The sequence below is a fragment of the Homo sapiens genome, chromosome 2, assembly GCF_000001405.40.
Source record: "Homo sapiens chromosome 2, GRCh38.p14 Primary Assembly".
In the NCBI taxonomy this organism is placed as follows: Eukaryota; Metazoa; Chordata; class Mammalia; order Primates; family Hominidae; genus Homo; species Homo sapiens.
The window spans coordinates 189,031,387-189,045,741 of NC_000002.12; the positions used below are offsets into that span (position 1 = coordinate 189,031,387).

At 33.8% G+C, this 14,355-nt stretch overlaps 1 protein-coding gene across 4 annotated transcripts in view; it reads right to left on the reverse strand.

The window, feature by feature from the left end:
• COL5A2 (collagen type V alpha 2 chain) overlaps nt 512–14,355 on the reverse strand; it is a 409,214-nt gene continuing 395,370 nt past the window's right edge. For all 4 annotated transcript variants that reach the window (XM_047443252.1, XM_011510573.4, XM_047443251.1 and 1 more), the window contains 8 exons: nt 13,793–13,846; nt 11,765–11,872; nt 11,334–11,387; nt 10,200–10,307; nt 7,886–8,177; nt 5,230–5,417; nt 3,530–3,769; nt 512–2,830 (listed from right to left, as the gene is read on the reverse strand). In XM_047443252.1, coding sequence (XP_047299208.1) covers nt 2,684–2,830; nt 3,530–3,769; nt 5,230–5,417; nt 7,886–8,177; nt 10,200–10,307; nt 11,334–11,387; nt 11,765–11,872; nt 13,793–13,846 — 1,191 coding nt within the window. In that variant the 3' untranslated portion in view covers nt 512–2,683. The remainder of the gene's footprint in view (nt 2,831–3,529; nt 3,770–5,229; nt 5,418–7,885; nt 8,178–10,199; nt 10,308–11,333; nt 11,388–11,764; nt 11,873–13,792; nt 13,847–14,355) is intronic.

Sequence of the window (14,355 nt, forward strand, 5' to 3'; positions counted from 1 at the left end):
ATTTTTATTTCAAATTGATTTCTCTGGCTGTAGTGAGAAGAATGGATCAGAAGAGGGAAAGAGTGCATGCCTGAAAACCTGTCAGAGGCTATTGAAAAAGCTCAGGCGAGACATAATATTCATGTGGACAAGGATAACGGCAGTGGAGATCAAGAGAAGGATATGACCTTAGGGAATATTTAGGGGGCAGAATTAGAAATATTTAAGAAGGACAGTACTCTGGCATGGTCTGAGAGAGAGAGAGAGAGGTGACAAAAATGACTCTCGGGTTTCTGGCCTGCCTAAATGGATGGATAATGACGCTGCTGTCTTTTTTTAAATTTCTGTTAATTTTGAGAATTTTCATTTGTATTTTTTAAATAAATCAACAATAAATGTATGCCACCATCCTCCCCAAATGTAGATTATTTCACTTTTTATAGTGTAGAATTTGAGGTGTCTATGGGACATGAAAGTAAAGAAATCCACTGACAGGTCTAATATATAGGCAAGAAATTTGAGAGCTTTGGAATGGTCTGGGCAGGCTTTTATTGGTAGCATTCCCAAAATCCAAATAAGAACTGTTATTTCTATAGTTGGAAATTGTTAGTGTTTGTGACTTAATAGTATTACCACATATTTCTGATTCATCTATATGAACTTATATAATCTTATAGTTTGGACTTGGAAGTCAAACAAAACTCACACATGTATTTAGGCATATAAATACTCAAATTTAAGATATACAGGTCAAAATATAACCAGTTTAGGGGAAAATGATGTTGTAAACTAAATATTGAGAATGAAACTGAAAACAATTAGGCTAAATTCATATGTGATACACTTTGAGACATATGTTTTATTATTACAGTTTATTCAGTCATGAAAAATCTATTGCTTGCCCTTTTTATCAATAATACTACTCTGACATTTTTAAGGGCAGAGGCAGTGATAATTGGTGTCATGTTGCCTTTGTGGGTAATGTTGTAGATAGATTTTCATTTATAAGCCAGTACATACATGATAGAAGGTATCCGTTGTATCTTTTAAACAAATGGCAAACAAAGTATACCACCACATCTCCTTTTCACTATTGGAAATGAAATAGATCTAATATGGTCAAAGGAATTTCACAAAACAAAAACCACTGACATGACAAAAGCGTGCATTTAATTTGATGCTTTGCAGAGATACATGACCAAAGTTGTATGCATGGCTTGTCTTTTGGGATGGTCCCAGCTGTTTATTTTAAAAGAAAAAAATTAAAATAGAGCCAACAAATGCAATTAAGAAAAAAAAAGTATTGAGACACAAGGGGACCTACATGTTCTGGTCTAAGAAGCATGCAAGTATTACAAAGCATTCCAGATACAGTATGACAGAGGAACAGTGAACAAGCATTGGAACGATGCTCTTTCTTTCAGAAACGGGAAGTCTAACAGTTATGTTTTCACAATGGTAGTGATTAAACCATCTTTATTTTTAAGGAATTTTATAGGAAGAATTTTAGCACCATCATTAAAGGAAAAATAATAATACCTTTTTAGCCCTGCCTATCTCCAGTCTTGGAATAATAACAGAAGCATAGCACCTTTCAGTATCTAAAATATAAACAAGAATAGTAAGTCCATCCCAGCTTCTAGAGATGAGGTAGCTCATGCTAAGAAATGTTGGGTCATTTTTCCTATGAAAGTTCAAAGGCCAAATGGTCTAATTCCAATCATCACATTTGATTAGAGTCAGCTCCACAACTCAGTTTCTAGATCTTTTTCTTCATTATAGGCTTCAGGATGATGAGATTGTACATGTGGAAGAGTCTCAATTTAGAGTCCTTGGACATATGTTTGTAAAGTTCTATATGTCAATTATTTTGCATTCAATATCTTCTTAAATAAGAAAGTGTAAATGTATTAAATGGTATATACTAGTGTGACTTCTATCAATATTGATAGATTGATCAAGAGGAGAAAGATATCTTTAAATTTGAATGAGAAAGATGTCTAAACTTATAGTCTTTTACAAAAATTTAAGAAGTCGAAGTAAATTCACTTTGTTCTCCAAAATGCCACTGAATATATACTATTTAAAAATTCTATTTAAGACAGTGAGAAACGTTTTTTTTTTTTTAAGATTCTCCTTAAAGAGTCTCTATTATAGTTACACAATATCAAGACATGCATGTAGGTCTCGATCACAAGTTAAACATTTTAAACTCATTTTTAATTGACAATCTTGGAATGAGAGGTCACAAAAGGGCACTAATTTCTATTTTTCAACTGCAGCCAAGCAAAATAAACATGTGTTGTGGCTCTATATACCCCACTCTTTAAGCTACCTGCCAGGAAGAAGAATTTCCTCATAAATACTAAGCAACTTTTTCATTACACTGAAATAAATTGAAGAAAACGGAGATTTATTTATTCAATCAGTTTACTTTCTGCAAAGGTGGTCATTGTCATTGGTCATCTTAAACCTAAACTGTTGTATTGAAAAATATTTAAAATCAATTAAAACTTGAGGATTGTAAGTAAAATAAATATTCTGAAGGATAAGGAGGCCAGGCACTTAAGACCATATATACAATGCTGATGCAGGATCAGCCATTACTTCAAGAGTCTCAGGATCAACTTCAAACAGTCAAAGTTCTTGTGAATGGCGGTGGTCATTGATGGTGGTGCTCATTGTCGATGTGTCTTGGCTTACTTTACACAAAACAAACTGGCCCAATTTCAACGCCGAATTCCTGGTCTGTGCCGCCAACATCCACAGGAGCAAGATCTATGATGGGCAAGCGTGCCACATTCTGTGTTCTATATTCAAAGACAGTCTTGCCCACATTTCCATTCCGCTTCTGAAATTAAATGATGCAATGGGTTAAATGTACATACAATTTTTTCCAAGTATGTTAGACAGCAACCTTCCCAGACACTTTTATAATGTAAAGGCAATGATTTTTAGAGTACTACTTAAAAAAAAGGAATGAAAACATAAAGTGAAATATTAGTGTACTTATGTAACAGAATTTCTTTCATGCTTTAAGTAAATTTCCTTTGTTCTTCTGCAGCTTCCCAAATGGTCACTAGCAACATAAATTATGAAAGCTTTTTTGTTTTTCACAAATGAAACTATAATTCACCATTTAGTATTATTTTCGTTTTATATCTCAATATGCAAGCGGGGAGACTTACTTACAAATTGGTGGAAAAAATAAAGTATCTTGGATTAATTACGCATTTTAGAAATAAGGAATTTTAAGCATGGGACTGAGATTCAGTAAGTTAAATAACTTGGAAAAGAACCAAAGAAAGTCTGCAGAAGAACTGGATCAGATCTTAGGGATCCAGTTCTTTCTTTACTATATGGATTCAAACCTCTATCATGCTTCATGTGCTAACACACACACATTTACCCTAAGGAATGACTATAAACAAACTGCTATTATGCTCATATACAAGGTAAAATTGCCCCCAGTTCTAGTGCTGTAATAGTATTTTTAACAAAAATAATTTTTTTTCCTCAACCAGATCAATGTAGATCAAAAAGTACTTACAGAGCAAGTGTCTTGAAGAACGATATACCGGAATCTAATATTTCCCTCTGCTTTGATATCTAAGTCATTTGCCCCTTTGAGAACCACAGCTTTTTTGAGGTTCTTAGCTTGATCGTCCATGTATCCTACACTGTTTTTACAGATGTAAGTGATGTTCTGGGAGGCTTCTTTTGATAAAAGGCGCAAAAAAGTCATCTGAGTAATGGCTGTATTAGGTGATTGGTGGTCTCCATAAGCGAACTAGAAAAACAAAGAGTCTTTGTCATACACAAGACTGAAGGGTTTCATAATGCCTTACACATGTATAGATAAATATATAAATTGATTTCAGATAAATCAATTTTGAAGAGTATTACTTTAATTCTTGTCATAAAGTAAGCTATTCTAGCTGTACATCTAAACATATCTTAAAATGTCTATGAATACTCAAAAGAACCTCTGTCCTTATTAACCCAAAGGGTAATGAAACCAATAATAACAATAATTCACGAGAACAAGCATAAGTATTTTTAAATCTGCTTCACTCATGTATCAAAAATAACTCATTTTTATTGCTAATTATAATAAAAATTAGAATTAACTAGTAGTATAAAATCTTTTGACCCCAACTATTACACAATTGTAGGAAATACATATTAAAAGTTTTCCATGTGCTAACAAAAATAATCAAAAAAATTTTTCTAGAGACTCTTTCCTACTCACCTTCTACTTTAGCTTTGGTTTCAGCACTCCCATTTGGGGGTTTTATTTTACATATTATATTAGCTAAATTATATTTCAACTATTTATATTTAAAATTTAAAATTTTGTGCTCATTAAATAATGACAGATACTAGCTTATCTTGTATACACCCATAATGTTCTCATAATGTTTATTCTGAACGTGATTTCTAGGAAAAGGTCAGAAGCAGAAGTGAGAAGAAAATTTCAATTAGGCTGCCATAAAGAGATGCAGAATGAAATATTCACATTGCAACAGGCAGTGGAAAGGCCAGACAGTTGTCTGAACACCAGACCATGATAGAAACAGGGTAGACTGGGACTCAGAAAAATATCAATTGACTTCATAACATTACAAAAATGCCTTAAGTTTAAATAATATTAAAAATTTTACAAAATGATTCAATTATTTAGACATTATTATAGTAGTTATCTAATATTAATTTACCATCTATCCCATAGTACAAGAGACCCTAAACTAAGAATTTTATATCCACATGGAAACTATGGAATAAATATTATCACCCTTACTTTAAACTGGCAAAACTGAGTCTCCAAAAAGTTCAGAGACTTTATAAGGCCCCAAAGTCAGTACAAGATCCCCGTGAGGTAACCAGGTCTGCTGAAGCTGAATATACAGAAATAACTGTTTATCAACTATGGCACTATAGTTTATCACTTCTGGTACACTCCATAGTCCATGTCACATACATTAGAGGAACTTACAGTAAAAATAATTACTTTTCTATATTTCATCCATGAGAAAATTTTTAATTCAAAATTTATGTTAACTTCACTCATAGCAAAACCTTGTTTATGCAATGGTATTACAATTGTAACTAATGAGACTATATCACTTCAAAATAAACATGGTAAAATAAGCCTGGTTTAAAAAAATAGCAAAGTCCTAAATAAATCAAAAATATGTAATAAGTAGTAAAAAGTAAAGAATACAATTTTAAGTAAACATATTAAATTACCTGAGACCCTCTGTTCATATCAAGACCATACCAAACAGGTTTATTGTCAGGAGATTTACTGGCCCACCAGGTTTTACGTGGTACACTGGATGGGTTTGCTGAAATACATGTTTCTCCTGTTTCCATGTTGCAGTAAACTTTGATTGCATCTTCAACAGATCCTTGGTTAGGATCAATCCAGTATTCACCTATTTTTCAAAATAGAAATTTTACTAAATAAAGACAATCTCAATCATGACTATAAGTCTCCAAAAGAATTAACAGAGGGTTTGAAAATATACACTCACTGATTAAGGATTCTTTTAAGTGAGAGTGCCCCTTACGAAAAAAGTAACCGGTATGCATTGGGGGCCTTTCTACATTCTAGTCGCTATTGTAAGGCACTTTGCCAAACCATGTACTTAAGGCTCAAAACATCCATATGAAGGAAATATCATTACCCCCATTTTATAGATGAGAAAACCATACCGAAAAGAGAAAATCTATAGTAAGCGGCTTTACCAAAATAGATGTGTTTCCAATATTTTAAAGCAAATTAGAATGAGTGTAACAAAATAATGTAAATAATGTAATAAAATAATGTAACATCAAAACTATGAGTAAAGTGAATAAATAAGTTGAATTACAATTAGAATGCTATGAATCATTTCATTAGATCTTTTTAAAATTACTCTTCTCATATATAAGAGACTCTTAAAATAGGAAATACCAAGGCAGTGCCTGGTGGTAGGCATACAGTCAAATACACAATTTAATATGCATTTGCATACATGGGTGTGTGTATACATATATTTGTGTGTATATTATATAAATAGTATGTGAGAATTGCATTTTAAATGAAAGTGTCGGAATGTAATGTATAGAGTTAATAAAATTGCCCTTTCTTCAATGATAATAATTTTAGCTATTCCTGTCAATGTCATTTCAAAGTTAACTTAAATTCTTAGGCTCTTTGTAGCTCATTTGTCTCCTGTGACTTAGGATCCCTCTTCTCTAGGTCATATTGGATTAATTAAAATGACAGAATAAGGTAAACTTTAAGCCTGGTACATGCAACTAGGGCAGAACAACTATTTGATTCCAAAATGTCTTGGAACCTCATAATAATATAATCCTGCCAGCAGAGATTCCAAAAGTATGACTCATAGAACATTAAACTACATGAAAGGAATTACATATTTAAATGTGGGAAATATATGCTTGATGATCCAGCAATATGTTAACATTAAGACACTTATAGGTCATGCAAGTAAATAAATATTTTGAACAATACTTAAGCAAGCATTTTCCACATTTCCACGAAATGCTTTTATTCCACAAAAATATCAATATTTTAAGATTTCTGGATGAAAATGGAACTACCATCATGAAACTGGATTATTAATAGGATATATCATCTATTATAGTACATTTTTTTTAAAGTTAACATTTATTTTAAATACAAGGGGTACCTGTGCAGATTTGTTACATGGGGATATTGTATGATGCTGAGGTTTGGGGTACAGATCCTGTCACCCAGGTAGTGAGCATAGTATCCAATAGGTAATTTCTCAACCCTTGCTCCCATCCACACCCTCCCCCCTGTAGTAGCCTGCAGTGTTTATGGTTTCATATTTATGTCCATGTGTGCTCATTAGCTCTTACTTATAAATGAGAACATATGATATTTGGTTTTCTGTTCCTGTATTAATTTGCTTAGGATTATGGTTTCCCGCTGCATCCATGTTGCTGCAAAGGACATGATTTCATTCTTTTTTATGGCCACATAATGTTCCATCATATATATGTACCACATTTTCTTTATCCAATCTACCATTGATGGGCATCTGGGTCAATTTCATGTCTTTGCTACTGTGAATAGCACAGTGATGAATACATGAATTCATGGGTCTTTTTGGTAGAACGATTTATTTTCCTTTGGGATATACCAAATCACAGGATTGCTGGGTCAAATGGTAGCTCTGCTTTAAGTTCTTTGAGAAATCTCCAGCTGCTTTCCACAGTGGCTGAACTAATTTACATTCCCACCAATAAGTGTATAAGCATTCCCTTTTCTCCAAAGCCTTGTCAGTATCTGTTTTGTGACTTTTTTATTTTTTTGAGACACAGTCTCGCTCTGTCGCCCAGGCAGTGGCGCGATCTCAACTCACTGCAAGCTCCGGCTCCTGGGTTCATGCCACTCTCCTGCCTCAGCCTCCCGAGTAGCTGGAACTACAGGCACCCGCCACCACGCCTGACTAATTTTCTGTATTTTTAGTAGAGACGGGGTTTCACCATGTTAGCCAGGATGGTCTTGATCTCCTGACCTCATGATTAGCCCACCTCGGCCTCCCAAAGTGCTGGGATTACAGGCGTGAGACACCGCACCTGGCCTGTTTTGTGACTTTTTAATGACAGCCATACTGACTCGTGTGAGATGGTATCTCACTATGGCTTTGATTTTCATTTCTCTAATAATTAGTGATGCTGAGCATTTTTTTCATGTTTTCACAAAATTGACTGTTTCCACCATTAAATTATAAGCTCCATGATATGTTTACTATTTTTATCTCAAATCTATCACTAAGTAGAAAGTCAGTAACATATTTTGGAATGCAGTTGAGAATAAACAATCAGAAACAACGGGTTTTGCTCAAATGGGCTGCTGTCTACTCACCACTCTGCTTTGCGGAATGGCAAAGCTTTAGGTCATCACACGTGCGGGCTGGGTGCTTTTTCGAGCCATCGGGGCTGCGCATGGTTTCAATCTGACTACTGAGTGACTTCAGGGTAGCATGAACCCCTGGGTCCGTTTTGTTTTTGTCATCAGGAGCCGCCTGATCTTCAGTAAACTCAGGAAGTGGATCTGGCATGCTTTCATCATAGTGCCCCATGATATCCCCAAGAGCAGCTGTAAGGTGGCCAGGGGGACCCGGAGGGCCAGGTGGGCCAGGCTCACCAGGAGGGCCCTAATTAAAAAGAGATTGGAAAGACATTTAACACATTGTTTTTGTTTTACTTAACTGGTAGAACTTGGTTCATAGGGAGTTCCAATGAGACACTCCAATTTGACAGTAAAGGGAGATCTATGACTCGCGCCCTTTTGTAACTAGATGGGGGTGGTCTAACAGGCTGTAACATTCAAGGATGAGAAATGATGCTCAATCATTTTTCAGGAAACATATCTTCAAGTCAGCATCCAAGATAAATAAAGATCAAAGCACAAAATATTTGCTCAGGTGTTTACCTTGAAGATACAACATATTTTATGTTAATAGCATGCAGATATGTATGTTCATTTGCAAACTATTTTCGTCAAGGTACAACCAAAATGTTTTAAAATTATTTTTGGATGAAGCTGAACAAAGCATGCAGGGGAATAGTGGCTGCTGGTTCTATAAGATTACATGTCAATAACAAGAAAATACCCACAGGAAACACCCACAAGAGAATTATACTCCTACTTCTAAAAGAGAGGGAGAGAAACACAGGAAGTCCTTTTATGTGCATTAATTCCTGTACAGATAAAAATTCTCTGTCCTAAGAAAAACTGAAGAAATAGTATTGGTTTTTAGAGACAGGGTCTTGCTACTATGTTGCCCAAGTTGGATTCAAACTGCTGGGCTCAAGCAATCCTCCCACCTTCACCTCCTGAATAGCTAGAATTACAGGTGTGTGCCAAGGTGCCCAGTATTCCTAGCCTTAGCCTTTGAATTGACATAAATAAAGAGCCCTCCTGCCTTTTTTTTTTTTTTTTGCCAAATAAGACACACTGAAATGAGAGGGAGATAAGCACAAAAAGTGGCAGAGACTACGAAATGGATCCTCTCTATTAATTCCCTTCTGCACTTCCCCAAGGAAGAACTCAGCAACTTGAAAGAACCAGGTGACAACCTGAAGAGACACATAGTCCACATCTCATGTAGAGAGCAAGATCTGGGAGCAAGAACTCTCCAGAAGGCTGGAGTTCTACTATTGGCTCTGCCACTTGTTATATGGCTCCAGACAAGTTGCTTTTACCTTCAGTGCCAATGTTTCCTCACTCTCAAAGGGCTGTTACATAATTTTTTTTTCTTCCTGTCTCTAAGGTCATATACTGAGTTCATGCGTTCCTTTATACTAATTTTAAGAGAAAAGAAAAGACTTTTTTCTAATATATCAAGGCCCACTGAATCACAAAGTCAATCAACAGCCACATAAGCTGAAGGTATTCCAATTTTCTAGCTGTTTCCTATTCACAATTAGAGAAATAAATGAGTAGAAAACATATCTCTTGTCCATAGGAAATATAAGACTATTTGATCCACATAAGAAGTAAATATCTGGCTTAACAGTATTGCTATGAAGGGCAAAGGAAAAGTAAGGAAGAGAAGGTAAAGACCAATGAGGAAGAAACACCAGAGAGAGAAGCATAAGCTCATATACAAACACGCACATGAGTACACCTGTGCATGGAAGATGTATGAAGATGTTTCCCAGACCTGAGAAGCAAGGATCTAACTAACATAGTATACAGCTTTGTATCATCCTCAAGTCAACACTACTGAAACTTTTTACAAAAAGTTTTAATCAAAGTCCTCCCTGAATGTTTTCAATGGAGAAAAACTTCAATTTCATACTCTTCATTGTCCAGCATTTCTATGGAGTTTTCATGAAGTAATAACTATACCTCACAGACATTTAAAATATTGCCCTTGAGAGCAAATCAACATTTTCATAACTTTAATTATAAATACAATTATAACTTGTTCTTTGCTCTTGTTAGTATCACATTATGTTAATGTCTGGGTAGGTTGGACTCTGATTTTATGTGCTCTAACTTATCTGTATTAAAATACTTGAAATAGTTACTTATACTCTTGTGTGACTTCTACGTTTGTTTTCGGGGTCCCTTAAGTCTCTTGTCAATCGGGCTGCACAGACATTTCTTGGACGGAATCTGAGCTATTGAATAAATAGCATTTCTTGCATGTAAACCTTTGTGACTTTACCTCAGGTCCTGCTTCTCCTACACTGCCTCGTACACCTGGAGGTCCAATTGGCCCAAGTGGCCCAGGGTTTCCTTCTTTACCTGAAGGACCAACTGGGCCTGGAGGACCCTGCAAGAAACAAAGACTGTAGTTTAGATTCTATGAAGGAAAAATTTTACAATGCCTTTCTCTAATCAAAGAACTATTTTACATATGGAGCTGTAACAGTGATTTCTAAGATTCATTTTCTTACTGATTAATAAATGAACTTCTGGTACTTTGTAACATTTATGATTTCATCACATAAGAATTTTCCATCATCCATGCATGGTAAAAGACAAATATGAGTTTACATCTTTAATGGACTAATCACCTACTTTTATTGGTAGTAACTTTCATTAAACCTCACATATTGTAAACTTAGAAATTCAATTAACTTGAAATAAGAAAATGACAGAAGTTGGAGTGTTTAAGTGAAATTTCTGTGCTTATGCCTCAGAATGCCATCATGTACTATTATTCTGAATTTTATGTATGCTTTGTTTACACTGTATTCAGATATACCAAGATTCTTTAAATTATTTTTTCTAATTTTTTCTACAAAATATTTTCTATTTTCCTAAATAATTATGTCCACCAATTGTCTTATGCCATCAATGACTTATTACAAGCAACATTAATACTAATGGAGAATTTCTAAAAGCTTCAAATATTGGCTTCATTTTATTATTTACTTCCAAATTAGCTTTATGTAAACTACTTCTGAGGAACTATCACTATTACTTAAAAGACAAAATATATTTAGCTTCAAAATCTGTCTCCACTTCATAGTAAATGCTATTACATCATCTCAAAAAGTGAAAGTTGAATAGAAATTTAAATTAACACAATGTAACAAAATGAACTAACAGAGGAATATATCCAAACCCTAGGTAATAAATTTTATTGCGGGCCCATGAGGTAATATATCATATTTCAAGATATTTCTACTTAAAATTAATTGCTAAATAGCTTGTCTCATATGTGTGTTGCCAACCTCAGAGAAGATGAGCCAACTCCAGCTTCAATACCAGGAAAACGATACTCAAGCATTAGCAGTACATCAACAAAGGCATTATTATTTACACCTGCAACTTACTACTTTTTGTTACTTACTCTTGGGCCAAATGGTCCAGGGATTCCAGCACTTCCTTGTTCACCATTTGGACCCTAAGTAGGAATACAATAAAAAATGTTGCCAAAATATTTGGATCCTGCATTGTGCCATTCTCAAAAATGTGCTATCATTGACTTTAGCAGCATGAACTACTTTGATAAAGTCACCAATCTCTGCAATGTCTACATGAGTTGACCAATGTTAAAGACACCTGTAGGAGTAACAGTGCATATAGCTTTTGCTTTATTTCTTCCCTACAAAATTATAGCTTATTATTGGCAATTATCACTTGTTATTCATCAAGATATTCTTTGAACTGAAAATAAGATACAAACATATCCACCTATTTTACAGACAGATAAATGTTCGTGTCAAGATACCCGTGTATTTTCAACTACAGGGCAGAATAATACTTAAAGGAATAACTTACAGGAGGGCCAGGAAGACCCTGAAGACCAGTAAAGCCTCTGTGGCCCTTCTGACCTCTGTCACCTCGGTCTCCATGATCACCTTTGTCACCACGAGGTCCTTGGGGTCCCTAGAAATAGAGATATGGCATGAAAATTACTTGCTACATATTATTGTTGAGACTAAAATTTACTAAAATTTTACTTTTTATAATTGTATTTACTACAATTTTGAACTTGGTATTTTATATGGATTAATATATTTACTTATCTAAAAATAGTATTAGACCTAGAAATTTCTGTTTATTTTTCCCAAAGAATGGTAGGTGATCACTGAAAAAAGATATAATAAGAATACTTTTCTGAAGATTTATTTTTTAAATGTTTATCTTACATTCATACTAAAATTAGATATTTTTGTTTGATCTAGCCTATCTGAAATGTTTTTTAAAGATTATGCTTCACATATTTAGTTGATATTATTATATAAAAATATTGCTACCATATATAGATTCTTTTAAATTAAAACATTTCATACTTGCCGTGTGTAACAATGAAATGATTTTAAATTTACATATGCAAATAAACTAGCTGGCTATGACAGCTGCAACTATATTAAGAAATTGGCAAAAACTTGCTTGAACAAATTAAACAGAAATATCATCTTTAAGCCACTTTCCTCTAAAGAACAAAGCAACTCTAAGTTATCCCATATCTGCAATATCTGTAACCAAATCCAGTGATCTTGATGCTAAGCTTGATCTACGGCTACAAAGAAAGCCGTAGTTAGGGATCTTATTTTGAGATAGAAGCTATACCCAGAGAAGAGGTGAAAATTATCTGATCAATCTCAGATGTTTTGTTATTGTTGGTGGTGGTGTTGGTTTTGTTTTGTTTTAAGTCCTGGGAAATTAAAAACAGCTCCAGGGAACGAGTGGTTCACAGTAAACTGACAAGTGGCATAGAGTCATCTACTATAGAACCGGATTCTGTTGCTTTTAGTGTTTTCCCAAAAGATAACTGAATCCCTATTTATCTGACTTTGGAAGATGACTGCAGTCATCAAATCAATTGGCTCTCAGGTTAATTTTTCCCTTATTGTTTTGATTTTGAATTTATATTTCCTAATTATCATACAGTATAGGAACCCATTTATAATAAAAAGAAGATGATTTCAGTAGCTTTTGCATATTTTATATAACAATATAAATTTAAATACTATCAAAATCAGCCTGAAGTTTTTCATAATGTTCGAAAGGTTCTTTTATTTGGGGGATGACCCAAAGTTTCATAATTAAAACTAAACTAAATCAGAAGGCACCTATTTGAATTATTAACTACAATGTATTTATTCATAGAAAACAAAATTACAATGTTTCTATAACTGCTCAAAACACTGTTCACTTGACATGCTATGCAACTATAAAATATTTGCCAGTCAAGCTCAAATTAAAGAGGAGAATTATTTAATAATATGGCCATGATTTTCAAAGTATAATTGTTCTTTTTGAGAACAGACATTGATTTACCTGATGGGCATGAAAAGCATATGACCTATTAGATTACACATGAGATGATTCATTCATGGTAAGACATCTATATAATAATGTTAACCTGAAAGTCACTGATTGCAAATAGCACAAAGATCAGAACATAGAAAGAAAAATCTAGTTGAAAATGAAACATAATATTTGAATAGTGCTTTTCAAGTTTACAGAGAGCTTTCAAATCCATTTTCCTATGTAGTTTTTAGAATAGCTCAGAGAGAAATGCACTATAATTCCTATTATTTTAGGAGAAACCTGTGACTTTAAAAACCTCCATGATTATTGATATAATTCATGGTTAAATTCAGAAGAATTGTGTTAAAATTATAAAAATAAACTCGTATTACTTTAAAAAATAAGAGTAAACTTATAATTTTTAATTAATATTTTTGTTCAAGCTTGAGGAATTTCATATTTTTCAGTTATGAATCTTAAATTATACTTCTTTGGGAGTATATTTTATATAAGAAAACATTTTTTAAAAAACAAAAAAAGAGAACTTACAGGTAATCCACGTTTCCCAGCTCGACCAGGTGGTCCTATAGGACCCCGAGAACCCTAAAAGAAATTTACAACAAAAAAAATTGGCATGTAAAAAAGATATTCACATATTACATAGATACAGGATGTCAACAATACGTTTATAGTTGGATGCATATATATATATGTGTGTGTGTGTGTGTGTGTGTGCATACTCTTATGATTAATTAATTGAAATCAGGCAAATGTCCATGTGTAGATAAGACTGTGGTCACTATAACTTCAATGACACTTTTACGGTCAATTTTATTCATTGACTTCATTGAATAAGTATCACCTTAGTTGAATACAGTAAGACATTATTCATTGACATTTAACATGATGCATACTTATTACATTTTCAAACTACAGCATTTTCAGATGATGGAAGTCAAAGCATCAGTATCTTCTATTCCCTCTTAGAAATGAAATTTTGCCTTTCAGACTAAGAAACATATAGTAGTTCATAATTAGCTGTTTACCATTCATTATTTAGAGTCCTTAACGAAGTGCACATGTATGACTATGTGTGTGTGCCTATATGCAGC